The following is a 20,258-nucleotide window of genomic DNA, read 5'->3' as shown; positions in this document are numbered from 1 at the left end:
TGGTTTTTTCCACACAGAGCTAGTGTTCCTTAAAAATGAAAAATGAAAAAGAAAAAAGATTGCTTTGGGTAACACTCGGATCAACAAAGTATAACATGTTTTTGCTGCAGGACGTCATAGCGTCTTTAAAATACTAGTGTGCTCCATGGCTTTGCAGGAGGGGCTGAAGTTTGCAGCCTTCGCCAAACTCTTGTGGACACTTGGTAGCATCTCCTGGATCACCAGCCATTGGTAAGAACGCTGCTGCATCACGCTGCCACCCAGAACAGGCATAATTGCAGCCCATCCCGCATGGGGACACAATGTTGATTTTTTTTCTTCCTCCAGAAGCTTGCCTAGCTTCAAAATATCACCTGTGAGCAATCAAGCCTGAGCTTGCCCATCTTTGTGCTGATTTCGGATCTCCTTAGCTAGAGATGCTGCCCTACAGTGCCTATCTGTCAGGGAAGGGTTGGAGAGGAAGGACAAGATACACACTGCCCAATTTTAGATAGGCAGCAATTTGTGGATTCTTTGTGCTGTCTTTAGAGAAATCAGCCTCTTCTGACTTGATGTGAGCTATGAACAGCCACATCTATTTTTTTTCATCTATTTTGCAGGAGATTAAAATGAGATGCAGTGAGGTAAAGACATTTGCACATGGCCCTCAGCTCATAGAATTTTAGAGCTAAAAGTAACCTGAGAGATCAGCCCCTGCTTCATTTGAACAGAGGAAACTAAAGCTCAGAGGGGCAATTTAACGTGCCTGAGGTCACCCGGCAATTAGGTAGTGGGACTAAGAGTCAAACGCAGGTCTCAGTAGTGGGACTAAGAGTCAAAAGCAGGTCTCTGTGATTTCAGAGCCCGTGTTTTCCTTGATGCACTTCTCTGCCTCTCTTCCCTGGCCTTGGGCTTTCCCTGGATTTCTCTGGTGTGAGCAGGGGAGCAGGGTCTAAAATGACACCTCTGGTTGACTTCAAACACCATCAGCATGCCCTTTCCACCAGGATCTCAAGGCTGGGGCTGCGACTCTGGTCCGTGTTACTGTCGCTGTCCCACACTCACTGAGCTTCTAAGATGAAAGAACAAAGGCTGCTGAGCCTACTGCAAATAAACTCTTCTTCCCCATCCTTCCCTGTCCAGCTTGGAACTTTATCAGCTTGTCATCTGGCACCAATGTGGCTTCTAGCCCACTAACAAAAGGCAGGGGAGGGTGAGGAATCTAGAGACCTGGATCCCAGCCACTGCCCACCTGCCACGTGCCATGTGGCCCTTGGCCACTGTCTTCTCTGTGAGCTTCCATTTTTTCATCTGAAAGGTGAAAAGTTAGCTAAATCGTCAAGGGGTCTCCTGGCTCCAAAATTCTACGCAGCCGTGAGTCAATGGCCCCGGGTCTGTTCTTTACTTTCTGTGAGCTTTGGTTTCTTCATCTGAAAAATGAGCATGATGTAAAAAAATAAAATGAAATGTAATGAAATGGAGATATTGACACCTGCCTCAGGACAGCTGGGAGGAGCCAGCAGGATCAAGTCTGTGAAAACCCCGAAGCTTACCGTACATGTGCCAAGATTGTCTTTCGCCATGACCCAGAGGGGATGCAAAGCTCAGCAGCTCAGGGTCCCAGCCTGCAAAGCCCCAAAGGACCCAAACCAATGAAGAATGTGGTCAGTGATGCTAGAAAGGCACAAAGTATTTGAGCGAGGCCACATGGCAGGGGGCAAAAAGCACAGGCCTCAGAGCCCAGCAGACAAGGGTTGGATTCTGGATCTGCTTTGTGTGGCTAGGGCCAGCTGACCTCTCCGAGCCTGTTTCCCTGTCTGTAAAATGGGGGCACCTACCTCTAAGGGTAACTGTGAGGTGTTAACGAAATGGTTAGCTGGCCTCTGACCTTGTCCCTGCCACTCTGGCCTTGTCCCTGCCACTCTGGCCTCCTTGCTGTTCTTGAAGCGCCCCAGTGTGCACCTGTCCCAGAGCCTTGGCACTTGCTGTTCCCTCCACCTGGAACACTTTCTCCCGGATCATCCCATGGCTCATTGCTCACTTCATTCTGGTTACTACACAAACACCCTCACCTTGAACAGGCCTTTCCTGACTCCCAACCAAGCGAGCCACACCTGCTCTGCCCTTCCTCTGCATCACTTCTCCTAGCACTTTCCATCGCCAGCCTGATGTTACACGTGTACCTGTTTGTTATCGTCCACCTCCCCCATCAGAACATGAGCTCCAGGAGGACAGAGACTTCACCATGCTGTTGGCTTCACTGTGCTGGATAGGGGTCTCCACAGGTGTCCGAGGACTCTGGAGAAATGATGCCATAAATCAGAAACACGCTTGGAGGCAGGTATCCATTTAGCAGCCAGAAGCAGCCTGACTTTTTTCATTCTGGGAAGATGTGCTTCATGCACATGCTAAGTGTGATGCAGAAAATAGACATGATTTAGTTAAAACTCCAAGCCAGCCAGGCAAAGGTCCAAGGCCGGTGGCACATGCTCATGGTAGGCATTCGATGCATAACTCCAGGGAGTGAGGGAAAAAATGTGGACTGCTGTGAGGCTCCAGCTCTGGGTCTTGTCCTTAAGAGGGTCAGTTGTTCCTTTCTGCTTCTATGAACTCCAAAGCAGCATCTCAGGAAATGCTTTAGGGAAATAAGAAGAAATAAGAAAAATGTTCCTGTATTTCAGAGAGAGTTTCTCTCTTTCTTGCTTTCTCTCTCTGGCACACCCGTACACTAGTACACGTCTGCATGCACACCCACACAGGCACACACACACTTTATAGTCTCCTAGGGAATGCAGAGCAGTGCCACAGCAGGTGCTTGACAGTGGTAGCCAGAGATGCCACTGCCGGGTATAAGTGGCCCAGCTGCTGATGGGCCAAGCCCCTCCCCATGCCTGGGTGACACAGGGACACTCCAGGCCCATTTGTCTGATCATAGGTAGCAGTGAGGCCCAAAGGATGGGCCTTAATGAACAGGTCCCCAGGGATTAAGCCACATGATTAAATGAGCAGCAGAGACCAGAAAGATATCAGCCACCCAAGACAAGAATGCCAACCACGGCCCTTCAGGGGATGGTCCAGGCAGACTTTGCTGCCCCTGCCCAGCCCCCATGCACTTGTCAGCCTCTGGCCTGAAGTCCCTACACAGCTGCCCACTCACTGGGCTGCAGCAGGGGTTCTGAGCTGGCTCAGCAGGTTTCATGTGAACCCAGCTTGGCCACAAACTCCCTGTGAGATCCACACAGATCCACCTGCCTTTCAGCACCTCGGTGGCACATCTGTAAAACAAGGAGGGTGGGATCCTCTGTCTCAGAGGTGAGTTGTGCACATTTGTTCACTTCACCAAGCATTTTTGAGTTCCTACTGCATGCCAGGCACTGTGATTATAAACATAAATGAACATTGACCCTGTCCCCAAGAGATCTCTCAGTCTTAACAGAGAGGGAGTTGGGATCAAGTGTGAACATGGTAAGTACTAGACATTGGGGCACCGAATGGAGGGAAAATGTCGAGGAGGTGGTGAGTGCAAAGGTGGGCAGAGGGTAACCAAATGGAAGATGAGAGGAGGGGCCAGTCTACATGGAGGGACTAGCATGAGCAAAGAGGAACATAAAACAGCAACTGATCCCCTTGGATCTTGTAAAAAGCCAGAAATACTGAATTCATGGTGATGATGGTGATGATGACACTGCAAATTGTTGAGTTATTAAGCTAAACTCTGTGCTAAGAACTTTCCATGCAATGGCTCATTTAAGCCTCACAACAGCTCTATGAAGAACAATCCATTTTTATGTTCATACCCATTTTAAAAATGAGAAAAATTAGGCTCCAAGAGATTAAATAACTTGCTATAGTTCACAGAACTGAACTAGACTTCAACTTGCCTGATCCCACAGCCCCAAGTATTTAATCAATTTGTCTAGGCTCTCTCTGGTTCTGATGCTCCAGGTACAAGAGGTCTGCATTTCTGCCTCTCTCAGAAAGTCCGACTCACTTGTCTGGGAAACAGGCACTCTATCTCTGGGGAGATCCTTAAAGAGGTGTGGAGTAGAAGGGGCGGAGCTAGGACTAGGGGACAAAATCTATAAGCAGGCAGTTTTCAACCAAAATAAGGGTGAACTTCCAAAACCATGGGCTGCCCCTGCAGGGAGTGAGGTCTCCATCCCTATGCACTTGCTCAAACCCAATGTCCGTCCTTCCCTTTGTGGTACCACAGAGGGGACTCCTGCTGTCTATCAGAAGTTAAGTGAGAGCCCATGGGAGATCCACCAGTCAGGACCCAAGCAGAGAAATCAACAGCACCCTCAAATTGAATACTAAAAGGAGAAATTAATCAAAGACTGTTAACAAAGGCATGGGCAAGGCTTGGAAAAGCAATACAGGAGAGTGCAGCATCCTGGTACTTGTAGCAGGGAGAGCCGTTACCACCCCCTCGGAAAGAAGGAAAGAAGCTGGTGTCAAAACCCAGAGAGAGACACTATGAAGAGCTCTCCCTCCAGCCCCCAACCCGGAGCTGTGGCCTTCCAAAGTGACATGCAGCTAACCCACAGTGACCCAGCAAATGGAGTTGAGAGACTGGACACCCCAGCTTGACTCTCCTCTCTCCCTCCAGTTTCCTACCTGGCCCACCATTAACTGATCCCAAGCCAGAGGGCAACAGAGTCCATCAAGACAGTCTCTGCAAGTCAAACCCGTAGCACAGAGAGCAGGGTGGAGAAGCACTGGGAAGGGGGTGCAAACAGAAGCTATCCCATACCCACACAAGGCCCTTGCTGCACTGTGAGATGCCCCTTATATGGCTGGCCATTGTCCCACCCTCTCCTCTGAAGCTATCTGGGGAGCTAGGGTTCCCCCACTCAGCCACTGTTATAAAGTCATTTTTGTCCAAAGCAAGATTGCTTTGTATCAGCACGTTCACTCTCTGAGCTCTGAAAACTCCCCCTAGCTATTCAGATAAACTTTTCTTCCTACTTCTCTCCAGTGTTTATTTCCTTGGCATGTTTTCCGTAATTTGCCAAGATGAAAGATTTTAGCTTCTTTTATCGTGATGCACTTTCCCTGCCCCGTTATGCATTCTGCCTATTGCTCCTGCCTCCTCCTACAGGGCTCCCATGTCCTTTCTGCATATTCAGAAAATGCACTTCCCTCCCTGGCCAGGTAGATCTCACCTTGTGCCACCTATGGCCAAGCTCTTGGAAAATGCTGGGAGACTGTGGCTTCTGCAGGCTGAACTCCATCTTACCACACTCCTCTTGGTTCAGCATTATCTTTCATGTTACGCTGTCTGCGTTTCAGCTTGGTACCAATTAACAAGAACTCCCATGTACATACTGTCTACATAGTATGTATGTAGTAGCTTTCCCTTTCTCTCTGCACTCTCTCTCTCTCTCTCTCTCTTTCTGTCCTTGAATCCTGGTGTTCATGATGTGTAAACAAATCATTCACTGTCCAGAGACCTACACTCTTTGAAGGAGCTTAGCATTGAATCAGTTGCCAATAAGACAAATATGAGGATGTGAACAATTCTGTCCAGCACCAGTTTGAGATGCTACTATCAGGGCGGTCACACAGGGCCCACAATCAGAAGGGCCACTCACTTGGTTTAATGCTCTTGAGATTGCTGTCTTGAAATTCTTTTATTTTTTAATAACAATGCTTACTTTTATAAATTTTTAACAACATTTTTTAACAAGGGGTCCTGCATTTTCATTTGGCACTGGGACCCACAAACTATGAGTGCAGTCATATTGTTACTGTTATTGTTGCCGTGTTGTTGTTGTGTGTGCAGCCCCACCTGCATGCCAGCAGGTGAGCCCTCCTGAATTATGCGGTGCTGGTGTTTACCAGTGTCCTCCAGAACCTAGGCAGGCTCACAGCTGACCAGATACAGCAGGGAACAGCAGACATAAGCAAGGGATACTTCCTCACTCATTTGTTCCATTCAACAAACATTTATTGAGCCCTGCTTTGTGCCAGCTACTGTGCTAGGGACATTAGGGGTGATTACAAAGAAAAAGATATCCCATGCCCTCAGCCCCCATTCAGAACTCCAGAGCTATGAATTAAGGCATCTGCTCACACTAAATAAACCACACTCCTGGTGGAGTAGAAAGAGTGCCACATTAGAACTCAGGAGACCTGGCTTCTAGCCCCTGCTCTGCTCTTGACTTGCTGTCTGACCTTGGGCAAGTCACTTCCCTTCCCTGGACTAGATCACTGCCCAAATGTAGATGACCTCAGACCTATATCAGAATTTCTGGAAATGCAGATTCCTGCTCTCCACTCCAGAGTGACTGAATCAGAATTTCTGGGAGTGGATCCCAGGAAGCATCACCCAAGCCATCTAGGAGATTTTAACTTGCATTCTAGCTTGGGAACCTCCAAAGTGGATGGTGTGAAGTTGCCTTGGCTCTAACAGTCTACATTTGTTACTTCAGCTCTCAAGTTGGGTCTTCAACTCAATACTGTGCCATGCCCAGGAAAGGGAAGAGAGTGAGGGCAGGGACTGCAGGGAGCTGCTCTTCACTACCAACCTGGAAAGCAATCTTTAAAAGGAAGCCAAGGGCAATTCTGGTAAGAAATAGAAAGAAATGCATCTGTAGATGTACAAGTAGGGCTTTGGGGAAAGCAGGGTAGAGGATCTGGAACTATGGTCGTGGTTTGACCATGAAGACACACTGATCTGCTGCTCGGAACCCTGCCCAAACTACCCAGGACTCCAGACAAGGGCATCTCCAGAGCACCTGCTTAGGAAGGCAAGATGGCGGAGTTCTCGTCACCCCCTCAGCTCTGGGAGGGCTGTAGTCTGCTCATAGCTGGATATTCTAGAACTGTGCTATCCAGCAATGTTTCCACTAGCCACATGGGGCTATTTAAACTTAAGTTTTAATTAATTAACATTAAATAAAATGAAAAATTCAGTTCCTCAGTCACACAAGCCACCTTTCATAACTGGCACCTACCATGTTGGGCAGCACAGGGAATAGCACGTTCCCATCTTTGCAGAAAGTTCCACTGGTCCGCAGTGCTCTAAAGAGAGCAGAAACCTTACCTATCACCTGCTCCCACTCATGTCCATCCAGCCACTGGATGTTTTTAAAAACTGAGGCTACTTTAGGATTTTACTCTCAGCTGCAGCTACTGCTGCTTTCAGAATAAGCTAGCACCTCTTCCAAATCCGAACCCAGTTCAATTAGCCTTGGGCGGTTCTCACTAAGAGAGGCACACCAGGCCTGTATGTTTTGCCCATTACTCATGGCATTTCTGACAGGAAGCCTTCATTTCTCATTTCTCCTGTAAACCACAGGTCCTCTCTTTTGAGCCTGTCTTACTGGCTGTAAGATTTCTTAAGCTTGGTTGTATAGCAGGCACACACGGCTTCAGCTAGCTCTCGAAAACAAGTTCTGGCATCTCTCCTGTTCCCTCCCACGGCTCACTGAAGGAGCCTTCAGTTCCTCCCAGCAGGGGCATCCCTGTCATCCCAACAGCCCTCCACACTCACCCTTCTTCCCCATCTGAGTCTGTTTTTCAGGCTCCACACTCTCTCCTCAACCCCCGTCTTGGACAGACTTTTGAAAACACAGCCACTGAAAGATGACTATTCAACCCCCTCATTCCATCCAGTCCTCCCTTTCCTGAAGTCCTCCTCCCAGATCTAAAAACCTTCCTTGAGGTTCCACCTGAGGGCCAGGCCCTGGGTTAGGTGATGGAGCCCTGGACTGAATAAAATATGGTCTCTCTTGAGGAATTCACCATCAATAGGAGAGATTGACACAAAGCCACAGGCTTCCAGGAGCATATGGATAGGAGTTTGGACAGGGTGATGCTGTACAGAAACCACAGAACAATGACTGTACTGGAGGGAAGTGGGATGTGTTTGTAGATTGCCTGGATTCTCTCCCACTCCATGAACCATATCCAAAAGGATTCCTGGCTGAGGGTCTCCTTGTCTAAATGATGAAAGCCCTGCCTACCCTTCCCTGGGGTCCTGTCTGCCTGCTAGCCCTTTCTTTCCACGTAGCCCCTGGCCTTGGAATTCTTGCCCTGCTCCAGACCCCTGCACCTACCTCAGTCAATAGCCCCCACACTTTCCATGGGTCATGCCTTTCCCGTGGCTGGACCCAGCCCTTCCTTCCCAGTGACTCTCTTCTGTGCCAGCTTTAGTTTGTCCCCAAACCCTCCCCAAGCCACAGCCTGAGTGCTGACATGTCCTCCCCCTCTCCATCCCTGACCCCCAACCCCATCATTATCTTCTCTCCTTCCTGCATTTATCCATTCTCTCTCCATTTTTTTCTTTGAGAACATTCCTTGATTTGGCCTCCAGGTTGGCCTTGTCCATTCATAAATGATTGAGGCTTGACCCATAAATCTCCCATTTATTCATTCATTAGGCATCTCCTGAGTGCCTGGTGTATGCCTAGCCATGTGCAGGACCTTTGAGGTCCAGAGAGACAGCCCAGAACTTGGCCTCAGGATACTCCAGCCTGCTGGAGGAAACAGTTAAAGCCTCATCACGATGTGCTATGGCAGGGGCTCCAGCAGGCAGATGTGGAAGATACAACAGAGCAAGAGAAAGAGTTGCTTTGGGTGGGGATGGAGAGCTGAATCTTCAGTGACAAGTGGGAAGATGGTCAGGTGGACAAGGTAGAAAGACATTCTGGGCAGAAGGAGATGCATTTGTGCAGAGTGGGTACCAGTGATGCCCAATCCAGGCAGCCCCGCATGGTGCCTCGAGGCAGAGGCTACTCAGAACAAGGCTAGGGAAGGGGTGGGTAAGGAGCCTGGGGTCCTTGGAAACATGGGAGGGAGTTATACAGTTTACATTTGGAGAGCTCATTCTGTAGACTGTTTGGAGAAGACAAGACAGAGAGGGGGATCTGGTAAAGGCTTATACAGTCCCATAAGTTCATTTTCCACTGATTGTGAGCACTAAACATTTAGGATGATGGCTCTGTACCGCCCCCAACCTCCCACTGCCAAGGGCCATTTCTTCTGCCAAAGGAAAAAATGAGGGAAGTTTCTCTTCTACTTGGCCATTGCAGCCCCAAGGGGCAAACACCTTGGCATACAAGAAAGCCCTGCATTTTTATTTCTACTGCTGCATCATGTTTTCCTCCTCCTGATATCCCCACCTTCAGTTCATGACCCAGAAGAAAAGTTAATCAATAAAATAAAGGAGTTTGACTTATGTTATAATCTCATTCTATAGATTTGGCAACTGAGGCAAGGAGTTGACCTGGCAAACTGACCTGAATTTGTTTCCCATTGCTGCTGCAAGAGATTACCACAAATTTAGTGGCTGAAAACAACACAAATTCGTTATCTTAAAATTCTGGAGGTCAGAAGTCCAAAATGGATTTCCCTAGGCTCAATAAAATCAAGGTTGTTGGCAGGGCTGTGTTCCTTTTGGCAGCTCTAGGGGAAAATTCATTCCCCTGCCTTTTCCTGCTTCTAGAAGCTACCTGCATCCCTGGGCTCATGGCTCCTTCCTCTGTCTTCAAAGCTAGAAGCATAGCATTTTTCCATTCTCTCTCTGACCTTGATCCTCCTGCCTCCCTTTCATAGGAACCTCTGTGATTACATTGGGTCCTACTTGCATAATTTAGGGTAGTCTCTCCGTCTCAAGAACTTTAACTCAATCACACCTGCAATGTCCCTTTTGCCATGTAAGGCAACCTAGTCACAGTTTCTGGAGGTGGGGATGTGGACACCTTTGGGGGCCATTATTCTGCTTATCACAGGGTCTTTTCAGCATCCCTTTGAGCTTTTCAATCCCAGGACTCCATGAGCATCTGTTGTTACTGACCCGTGGCTCTGTCCATCTTTGTTCTTTCAGAGGAAACGACATTTGAAGCAGGAGTGAAAGTTCAGATCCACAGTCAGTCTGAGCCACCTTTCATCCAAGAGCTGGGCTTTGGGGTGGCTCCAGGGTTCCAGACCTTTGTGGCCACACAGGAGCAGAGGGTAAGTTCCCTGGGCTCCCAGGATTGATGGTCCTCAGCCTCCCCCGACCCCCTGCAGAGGCACAAGGAGGAGAAATGGAATTCCCACTCGGTCAAGGGCTTTACTGTGAAACTAGAGAAAGATGTTGGCTAACCTTCGTCACCAGTTCTCCTGTACCACCTGTTGTTCCCTAAAATTGGGCATGAAGGAAACCCAGCTCATTTTTCTTTTCACCAAACTGGTTGGGTTTTTTCTTTTCCAGAACATTCTGTTACAGTTGACTTTTTGTACAAGTTAATTTAAAAAAAATTTTTTTTTTTTGGCCAGGGGATGCTAAGGAAAACTGCTAACCAGGGCTTGATATGTTTCATCACTTGCGTTAATACAATTCAAAGCAGCCTACAAAAAGAAAAGGGGTGGAGGCGTCCCTCTCCCATCACAGAGTTTAAGTGGAGCGAGCCCTTGTTACATGGGATCCTGCCTGCTCTCTTTGATATAGCGCTGGGGAGGGGACCTCAGCTGGCCAGCTGGGACTGCTGCATCAATTCTGTCTGTGGGTGGAGGGAGGACAGGCACAGCCTCACGTCTGAAGCGAGTCTTACATCTCAAAAGGGAGACCTTCGCAAACTCTCAGTAAGGAGGCAGTCTCAAAGCAGGACTGCGGAGAGACACGGACTCCGTTTCTTTCTTTTATCTCCTGAATACTTGTTGCCTGGTTTTCCTAGAATAAAAACTGGAGAGACAGTGACTGGGAGGGAATCCTAAACCAGATCATCTAAGACAAGTTTCTGGGGAAGACCTTAGGCATAGCTAAGTCAGTGAGTAGTGAAGGCACCTGCTCTGGGGTGTGGGAAAGGGAGACTCAGGGAGAACCATGACGGAGGAGCAAGGAAGGATACATGCACGTAATGGATGAGCTCAGCTTGCTTTTAAAATTTGGCTCAAATGTCATCTTTCATCTGGTACTGATCACAGCTGTTTAGCCATTTTATAAAATGATATTCTGCATTAAAAACTTGTTGTAGGGCCGGGCACGGTGGTTCACGCCTGTAATCCCAGCACTTTGGGAGGCCAAGGCAGGAGAATTCCTTGAGCCCAGAAATTCAAGACCAGCCTGGGCAACATTATGAGACCTTATCTCTACCAAAAAAAAAAAAATTAGGCATGGTAGTGCATGCCTGTGATCCCAGCTACTTGGGCGGTTGGAGGTGGGAGGATCACTTGAGCTGACTGAGCTGAGATTGCACCACTGCCCTCAAGCCTAGGAGACAGAGCTAGACCCTGTCTCAAAAAAAAAAAAAAAAAAAACACTGGTTGTAAATCTATACGTGAGCTATATTGTTTTTTACTCTCTGGGAAAGTGTTGATGGCATAGGCCTCACAAACTGTGCCCTGTACCCAATGCCTGGGCAGTTAATGAAGTCCAAGGTCAACCTTCACTGAAGCACATAGGGAATGGGATTGCAGCTTTGATGCAGGAGCAGGAGGTGCTGGAAGGTTAGCCTGGCCTCTATGGGATCCCAGAAACTGAGACAAGTGATGCAAGCAGAAAAGGGAATATCCAAGGGTATGCAAGGTAGAAACCAAATGGTGCAACCAGGAAAATATATCCTTGAGGACAAAGGAGGGCATGAGGATGGCAGGGGCAAAGTTCAAGGCTAAGGATTTGAGAGTCAAGAAGAGTGAGAACAAGGATTATCCAGTAAAGACATGCAGATGGACAGGCAGCCTGGGTGAGCTGAGAGCCTGAGCTACTAGCCTAGGTGAGCTCCTCAGTACTGTCAAAAGTAAACAAAGCTGGACATGGGTTGACATGGTGAGGGCAGATTTTAATCAATTATTTACTTTTGCAGTAGGGAAGAGGGTGCAGCATGAACTGAACTCAACCCCAATTCATAGAGAGGGCCTGGGTGTTTCAAAGAGAGAATGAGGGAGTGGGCAGAGGCAACAGCAAGGGCTTGAGCAGCAGAGTCAGAGAAGTAAAAAAATCATAAAAAACAGGAAGGGGCTTGGGTGCTGGTCCCTGTGAAAAGCATCTGGGTTTGCTAACTGGTGCTTATTGAAGTTAGTTAGGCTCCTACCCTCCCACAGAGACGGGGAGACAGGGGCCCTATATTCAGGTGTTGGCTGGAGCAAAGAGTAAATTCTCTTGGCAGCCTCGAGTTTTCTCAGGCAGGCACTTTAAGAGGGGATAGAGGTATTCTAGGGATATGACCTTGGGCTGTTAGAAACTATGATAGTGTTTGTTCAAGTCTTCATAGGCCAACTAAGGGTGAGGCTTAGAAGAGAAGAGGGCTCAGAAGAGCCTGGCTAGAGTCTGGTCAAGGAGAGAAAATCGGTCAGCACTCCCTTCTGTTGTATGAGTAAACCCACATCCCTTCAAAGAACCAGGAACAGGTTAGACTCATCAATATGTGTATAAATTCTGTGACTTTCTAAAAGTAAATTGTTAATTAGTTGTCCATGGCAAATCTGACTTTGTGGCTTGTTGAATGTACCTACCCCTACTATGATGAATTACTTACTTGTGTTGACATCTCTTTGCTATCTACATTGTTATTAGCAGCAGAATAAGTGAACAACATTCCTTGGAATCCAGTGTGTAACTTCTCCCCACCACTAGTAAGGGGTGGAGAGGAGGAAGTTCTCTGTAGGCTGCTATTTTTCATCAGCCTGAGAGATGTGCTTTTTCCTCCCCTAGCCCTGGCTGATCTTCCATTAGTAAGATGGAAGAAATTTCTGGGCTGGGTGGGAAGTCGGAGCTATGACTTCTAGGAATCCTTAAGTTTCTCTTTCCCTTCCCAATATGAAACAGAAGGACTCCCTATGGTGAGTAGGATGAGGAAATAGAACATATTCCCAGCTTCGGAGGGCAAATTTGCTGTTAGCTTTGAAGTGTATTCTCAGAAAATCAGCCCCATTCATGTCTGTATTTTCATGATTATTATAACTAATAAGATATTTGTTAAACATTTTACAGTCTTCAAAGCATTTCCGCATCATCTCATTTCATCATTTCATTTATATTAATAGAGAAATACAAAAACACATCCCAGAGCTAAATCTAATAATACATTATATTTACATGTATATAAAAGAGCATATTCATAGGAAATAAGACTTGAAGGAAATCAGCCAAAATACCCACACTGGGGGAATTATGAATAATTTATTTTCTTCTGTGGGCTTTCCATCTCTTTCATGTTGTGGCTTTGTTCTATTTATTCATACAGCAAATATTTGCTGAATACCTACTATGAGTGAAGTGGTAGAGATACAGTGGTAAACAAAAGAGACGCAGTCTCTGCCCTCACAGAGCCTGTAGATTAGCGGTTTCTTTAACAAAGGCAAAAATAATGTTAAGCCAAGTATATTTTGAGGATTTAGCCCCAGCTGTATGCTCTCATTCTGTGAGTATGCAAATCTATCCAGTTGATCCTGGTCCTCAAACACTTCATTTCATTGATTGTTAAGAGGCATATTTGTGTTCACATTTTAACATTTCTGAAATAAGGATTCGTTTTACAATCAATTAAGTCTTAAAATTACAATAAGCAGTGTTTGTTATTCTTTCTTGGTGATACATAAAATCATGGTGCATCTTATAGTATATGGTATATCCATAAAATGTGGCAGCTACGTTGCTATCAATCCAAGATTCTGCTGCTTTGGCTCAAAGTTTAAGGAAACTTTGCAGGAAGGCCATGGGGACAAGTCGTAGGAAGTAGAAAGCCCTTTCCTGGAAAGTTGGTGTGAATCATGCTAGGAAAATTGACTCCAGAGTAAGAGCCCTAAGAGGAACTAGTGACTTAAAGAAGTCCTACCATGAATCTTTGTATAAATGGGAAAGTCTTTCTGCATGGTGAAAATTATCTCACCCATGCATAATTACACACACACCACGCCTTTCCAAATGTTTTAAATTTTATTTTATTGTCCTAAAGAATATACTCTTGGGCTACAACCCAGTCCAAAGATTGCTTTCTTAACCTGCATTTGCCCTAAAAACAAATAAGTCAAGGTATGCCTTGGCTGCCTTCCTAGACAACCTTAAGAAGTGCCCTGGTTAACTCAGTTGCTGTAAAATCCTCTGCACAATCCCAGGACCACCAGAGACAGGCAGCGGGATAATATGCTGGAAGGAGAAATAGAACCCTGGGAAGGGTAGAAGAATAACAACAGTTCCTATCAATGGAGCACATGCTACCTGCCAGGCATTATGCTGTAGGGACACTTGAGGCACATTATCTCATTTAATCTCCCACAACAACCCTGCAGGGGGGGTTCTGATATCTCCACTTTGCAGATGACAAAACTGCGTGGTTGAATAACTTGTTCAAGGTTGCGTAGCTAGGGGAGCAGCAGGGTTGGGCTTCAAGCCCGAATCTACCAGGTTCCCGCACCCATGCTCTTTCTGCTCTGCCACACTGCACAGTTGTAACTCAGGAAGACTCTCTGGAGAGAGCGCACAGGGAGCTAATCCAGGGAGGGACTGGCTGGCAGGCTGGTCTTTTCCTACCATGAGCCCAAAGAAATAAGGCTACTCAGTACTGTGGAGAACAAATCAGCCTAGGAGTCCAGAGGCCTGGATTCTAGTCCTGCTGTGTCATGGGACTTTGGATAGGTCACTGCCCTCTCTGGGCCTCAGTTTTTCCATCTGTAAAATGAGAAGATTCCATGAGATGACTTCAAATGACCTCTAGCATTCACCACCTGGGAGTCCCTGCCCCTGCTCACTCAAGGACATAAGGATCACCAGGAAGTTTGGCTGACAGCAGTTCTGCACCCACTCCCGGCTCTGCCAGCTGGCATGGGATGCTTATAAGGTAAATTATGACAAGGATGTGAGATAAACCCTCTCCCCAGCTCTGGGAGGCAGAATCTGGGCTCCTGCTAGTGAGAAGCAGGAGCTGGGGTGGAGTAGCCTAAAACTCTAGGAGAGAGGCTCTGGCCACCCTCCTTGGTAGTACCCCTTCCTCAACCCACATCCTCAGTGGTCACAGCACTACCCAACATAACACCCTTACATTCCAGGGCTTTCTGTAACTTACAAAAATCTAAACCCCTTAGAATGGCTCTGGAGTCCCTGCCTAGCCTGGCCACAGCTCACCTCTCCAACCTCCTCATCTGCCTGTGGTTGACTAGGATGGACCCTACATCCCAATGATGCAGAACCATCCACCAAACACCCCATGTTCTTTGATGGCAGCCTCTGTGCATCTGCTCCCTCTGTTCCATCTGCCCTTCCTTGTTTCATCTACCTGGCAAAGGCCTATTCACACCTCCAGATACCACCCAAAGGTCATGGCCTTTAAGAAGACTTTGCTGTCTTATCCTGCCACCTTCCTAGGAATAGTTAGCTGCTCCATACAATATTTTGTACATTCATTTATTCCCTCAGCAAATATTCCCTGAGCACTGAATGTGCTGGAAAAATTAAGATAAGCGAGACCTGGCCCCTGTCTTGGAGCACTCACAGAATGAAGTGGGGGATTTGGCATTTTTTGTCACACTTCCAAGGGTACAACAGTCCCATGTAGGCTTACTTCATGTGGATCACTGCTCCTGACACCTACCTCTCCAGAACTGCCTTCTTTTGCCTCTCTCAGCCCTTGTCTCTTATAGTCTCAGAGCCCTCTGAGAGCAAGGATTGTGTCTTTTGGATTCTGTGGCCCCAGTGCCTTGCTTATAGATAAGATCCATAAATGTGAGTTGTTGGAAGTACAACTGGATAATCAATCCAATGTTATACTCTAATGCTCCCTGCTGCCTCCTTAACTCACCTCTGCCAACTGTCCCATTAAAAATCTGCCCTGAAAGCCCGTCTCCCTGAGGTTATGAAGCTGGGCTGTGATGGATGATATATTCATATCGTTTCTGGCTTAGACAAGCTAATCAAAGCAAAAGCTCATGAAAGGGGTCAGGGCTAGGGATATAGATCTGGAAGCCATCTGTGTAGATAAGAGTGGATGAACAGATAAGAGAGCCAGCACAGAATTCTGGAATTCGGGGAAAATTAAATGAGTGAGTAAATATATGTGAAACTGCAAAGCTGGGATATTCATGCGGTATGGGGACAGCACCAAGCTGTCTTCAACGTTGACATCACCAATCAGACTCTTTGCTCAAACCATGATTATTTATTTATTTATTTATTTATTTATTTATTTATTTATTTATTTTTGGAGACAGAGTCTCACTCTGTCGCCCAGGGTGGAGTGCAGTGGTGCAATCTCTGCTCACTGCAACCTCCACCTCCTGAGTTCAAGCAAATCTCGTGCCTCAGCCTCTGGAATAGCTGGAATTACAGGCTTGTGCCACCATGCCTGGCTAATTTTTGTATTTTTAGTAGAGACGTGGTTTCACCACTTTGACCAGACTGGTCTCGAACTCCTGGCCTCAAGTGATCCACCCACCTCTGCCTTCCAAAGTGCTAGGATTATAGGTGTAAGCCACCATGCCTGGACTTCCAAGTCATGATTTGATATCAGAAGCCTTTCATCATCTCCCACCCTCTCTTCAAAGAGCCTGGTGGTGATTCTTGTTTTCTAAGTGTTGATCCATGTATTCATCAAATATTTATTCAACCACTTTGCTTATACTTCTTGGTGGTCCTGGGAATGAATCTAGAGATTCTGGGCAATTAGTTGGCCCACCAACGTTATTGTTCGGGAAATTTCCTGGAAATCTTGGCCCTGGGTTTATATTTGACAGCCTCAGAAACACCTTGGGGAGCCAGGGTTGAATGTCCCTTCCCAGAGACTTCCCACTGTCACCAAGAACCTCTTTCACTACCAGCTGGAAACCATCAGGAATGAGAAGGGTTTCCATTCCACAACCTAGACTTTATATCACTTGAGCTGTATCTAAAGTGCCCTGAGAATGCCTACCATCACACAACACCTTGCATCTAACCACTGCCTCTCTAGCCTGTTTAGACTACAATAAAGGCAAATAAGAATACTTAGGTCTTGCCAGCTCTAGTTAGGTCTTTGGCAGGACCAGTTGGCTCCTACAGAAGCCTAAGCCTCTGCCTCTGGTATAAGTTGGCCACATTTCCACCATTTGAAGGGAATCCCACCATGGCTCACAAGAAGAAACAGTATCCCTCACCCCACCCCTAAATAAAAAGGCCCAGCAGCTTGGTGGGATGCCCACTGCCTGCTTTTGACAACTCCTCTCAAGCTTCCAATTATAACTTCCTAAGTGCCTTTCAAAAGGGAAGACTCATTTGTCAATCTGACAGCCAGATCCATGGTCCTTAATATCCATGTTTCATGGACCCCATTAGAAATGGAAGCTTGCCCAGTTGGTTTTTTTCAAGGCAGAAGAGAGAATTTATTACACATGACTTTAGTGACTTCCAAATGGCCAAAGATGGAGCCGCATAAATATGGAAGCATCTATTTCCACCCCATCAAAGCACTGGAGAGGTGCCACAAGGTGAGATGGCCCGCTGTGTAGACATTGCCTTCACCATCAACAGGGTACACTGTTTCCCATGAATAGCCCAAGAATAAGAATCAATTAAGCATATGCTAGTTTAGCTACTTAATCACTTGTTGCCACTCAGCATCTAAAGTAGTAATATCTTCAGATCCCCAGACGATTTTGCCAAGAGTCAAGTTTTCACCATTTTTTCCTGCACAATATAAGCTTGATTTTCTCAAGGTGGACTTGACAGCAGAGGATGAGGGAGGAATTAGAAGGATTCTTCAAAGAATTGCTGATTGGCTAGGATGAGCTAGGTATTGTGCTTAGCACTGTTGGGGAATCAAAAACTGAATCCCATAAAAATATACTCCAGTCTTAGGAGGAGATAAAATTATTCTTTATTTTACCTCCCCACTACCTTGCAGCCTCTTCCTCTCCTTGCCTTCCTGACAAAGAGTCACCAAAAAGTTCTCGGTCCCTGATGTCAGTTACACACAGTCAACTGCAGCCTGAAAACATTAAATGGAAAATTCCAGAAATAATCAGTTTTCAGTTGTGCACCATTCTGAACAGCGTGATGAAATCTCGCACCATCCCACTTCATCCCACCCAGGACGTGAATCAGCCCTTTGTCCAGCATATCCACGCTGCATACATACACTGCCCGCCTGCTGGTCACTTAGCAGCCGTGTCTGTGATCAGATTTACCATCAAGGTATGGCAGTGCTTGTGTTCAAGTCACCCTTATTTTACTTAATCATGGCCCCAAGGAGCAAGAGTCATGATGCTGGCATATTGTTATAATTGTTCTGTTTTGTTATTAGTTATTTTTGTTTATCTCTTACTGTGCCTAATTTATAAATTAAACTTTATCAGAGGTATGTATGTATGTATGTATATATAGGAAAAAAAAACATGATACATATGGGGTGGGTACTATCTGCAGTTTCAGGCATCCACTGGTGGTCTTGGAACGTATCCCCGTGGATAAGGGGGGCCTGCAGTACTCGCTTATCCCTGATTCTTCATTTCCCTTTTTCTTGCCAGTCCACCTCCAGCACACCACTGAAACTTTTCTTTGTCAAGGTTGCTCATGAGATCTCTTTGGCTAAACCCAGCCTCTGTTGACAGGGACACTCCTCAGTCTTTATGCCACCTGGTTTCTGAACAGCATGTGGACTGTGGACCACACCCTCCCTGAGACACTCCTCTTCACTCCTGCCTGGCTTCCTTTCACCTCCCTGCCCACTCTGCCTTGGCCCCCTTCATAAGCAATTCTTCCCCTGCCACCCCTTACCTAGTGGTACTCCAGGTTGCTGTATTGTCCTCTCCCAGGTTACAGCATCCTTTCCCATAATTCCCAGACTGCCACCCCAGCCTGGACCTCTTTCCTGAGCTCCAGACCCAACATTCCAGGGGCTGCTGAACTCCTCGCTTAGAGTCCCATGGACATCCCAAATCAACAGGCAAAACTAAATTCATCTTCTCCCTGTCCCCACACCTGCACCCCATAATTGATGCTCCCCTAGATTCAAAACTCTGTAAATGGCCGGAGTGCAAATCCCCATTTGCTAGTTGTGGAACCTTGTTCCTCATTCTCTTCATCTGCAAAATGGGGATAATGCTGGTTCCTACCTCACAGGGGGACCGGAAAACTAAGTGGGTTCATACATGTAATACCCATAGAACAGTTGGCATACCGTAAGTGCCCAAATGATGCTAGCTGTTATTATCCCCCACCCCAGACACTACTTTAGTTCAGTTCCTTATGTTTTTTTCACCCAGATAAGAACAACAACTGCCTCACTGGCCTCCCCAGTGCTCACTCTGTCCCTCCCCAACCCATTCTCTGCAACAACATGACCGTTCTAAAATACAGCCCTGCTCATCTCCCTCCCTCATGAACCACAGGATGAAGTCCAAGAATCTCTTCACAGACCTCTCCAGTCTGGCTCCTGCCTCTCTTTCAGTGGCCTCTCACTCTACTCCCCCAGCCTCCCACACAACACCCCAGCCACATTAAACAGAGCCCTCCTCCCAGCATCGCACACTCTCTCCTTTCTCCCTCTGCCAGCAACACCCTTCCCACCCTTTCATCACCTCACTTGTATGTGTCCTTCCTCCAAGATTCAGTGCAAACATGGCCATACCAGAGTATTATGTGGAAATCTCCAGCATAAAATGTACACATTATAACCGTCTGTTTACTTATCTATCTCCCCTGCCAAACTGGGAATTCTTTGGGGATATGATTCTATCATACTTCTATTCTTCATATTTTACATGGTGCCTTACATATACAAGATGTTCAATAAATTGCATTGGATGAAATGAACGAATAAATAAATGTGAGAGAGAGGACTTTATCATGTCACAGCCTGCTTGAGACCCATTAATGTCTTTCCCAACCCATAAAATAAAGCCCAAATTCTACCTCCGGGCTCCCACCATCACTTTTCCCAGTGATTATATCTCACTGCCCTCCAGCACACAGCCCCCTCTCATCTACACACTGCCCCACTTAGGCCTTGAGCCTTCTTCCTGTCCTACTCTCTCATCATCTCATATTGACATTTATTGATCACCTACTATGTGCCAGGCACTGTGTTAGGTGTTAGGTTACCAGTGGACAAGACTAGCCTGGTTCTTCTTAGAGCTTACAGGCCAGCAGGAGAGGTAGCCAATCAATCAACCAATCAATCATGGAGTAAGGGCTATAGCTGGCTGGGTGTGGTGGCTCATACTTATAATCCTAGCACTTTGGGAAGCTGAAGAGGGAGAATCAGGAGTTGGAGACCAGCCTGGGCAACATAGCAAGACACCATTTCTACAATCAATCAATCAACTAAAAGAGCTATTATTTGTCTGGTAGCATGCCCCCAGTATACTGTAAACTCTTACGGGAA

General features: G+C 46.7%; 1 protein-coding gene across 2 annotated transcripts in view; it reads left to right on the top strand.

Moving 5' to 3' along the window:
* ASIC2 (acid sensing ion channel subunit 2) overlaps positions 1 to 20,258 on the top strand; it is a 1,143,682-nt gene that overhangs the window by 1,057,967 nt on the left and 65,457 nt on the right. For both annotated transcript variants that reach the window (NM_001094.5, NM_183377.2), the window contains exon 3: positions 9,812 to 9,939. In NM_001094.5, the coding sequence (NP_001085.2) occupies positions 9,812 to 9,939 (128 nt within the window). The remainder of the gene's footprint in view (positions 1 to 9,811; positions 9,940 to 20,258) is intronic.

This window comes from Homo sapiens, chromosome 17 (assembly GCF_000001405.40).
Source record: "Homo sapiens chromosome 17, GRCh38.p14 Primary Assembly".
Classification (NCBI taxonomy): domain Eukaryota; kingdom Metazoa; phylum Chordata; class Mammalia; order Primates; family Hominidae; genus Homo; species Homo sapiens.
Note: the sequence above shows the minus strand (reverse complement) of the source record. Positions and strands in the feature narration are given on the sequence as shown.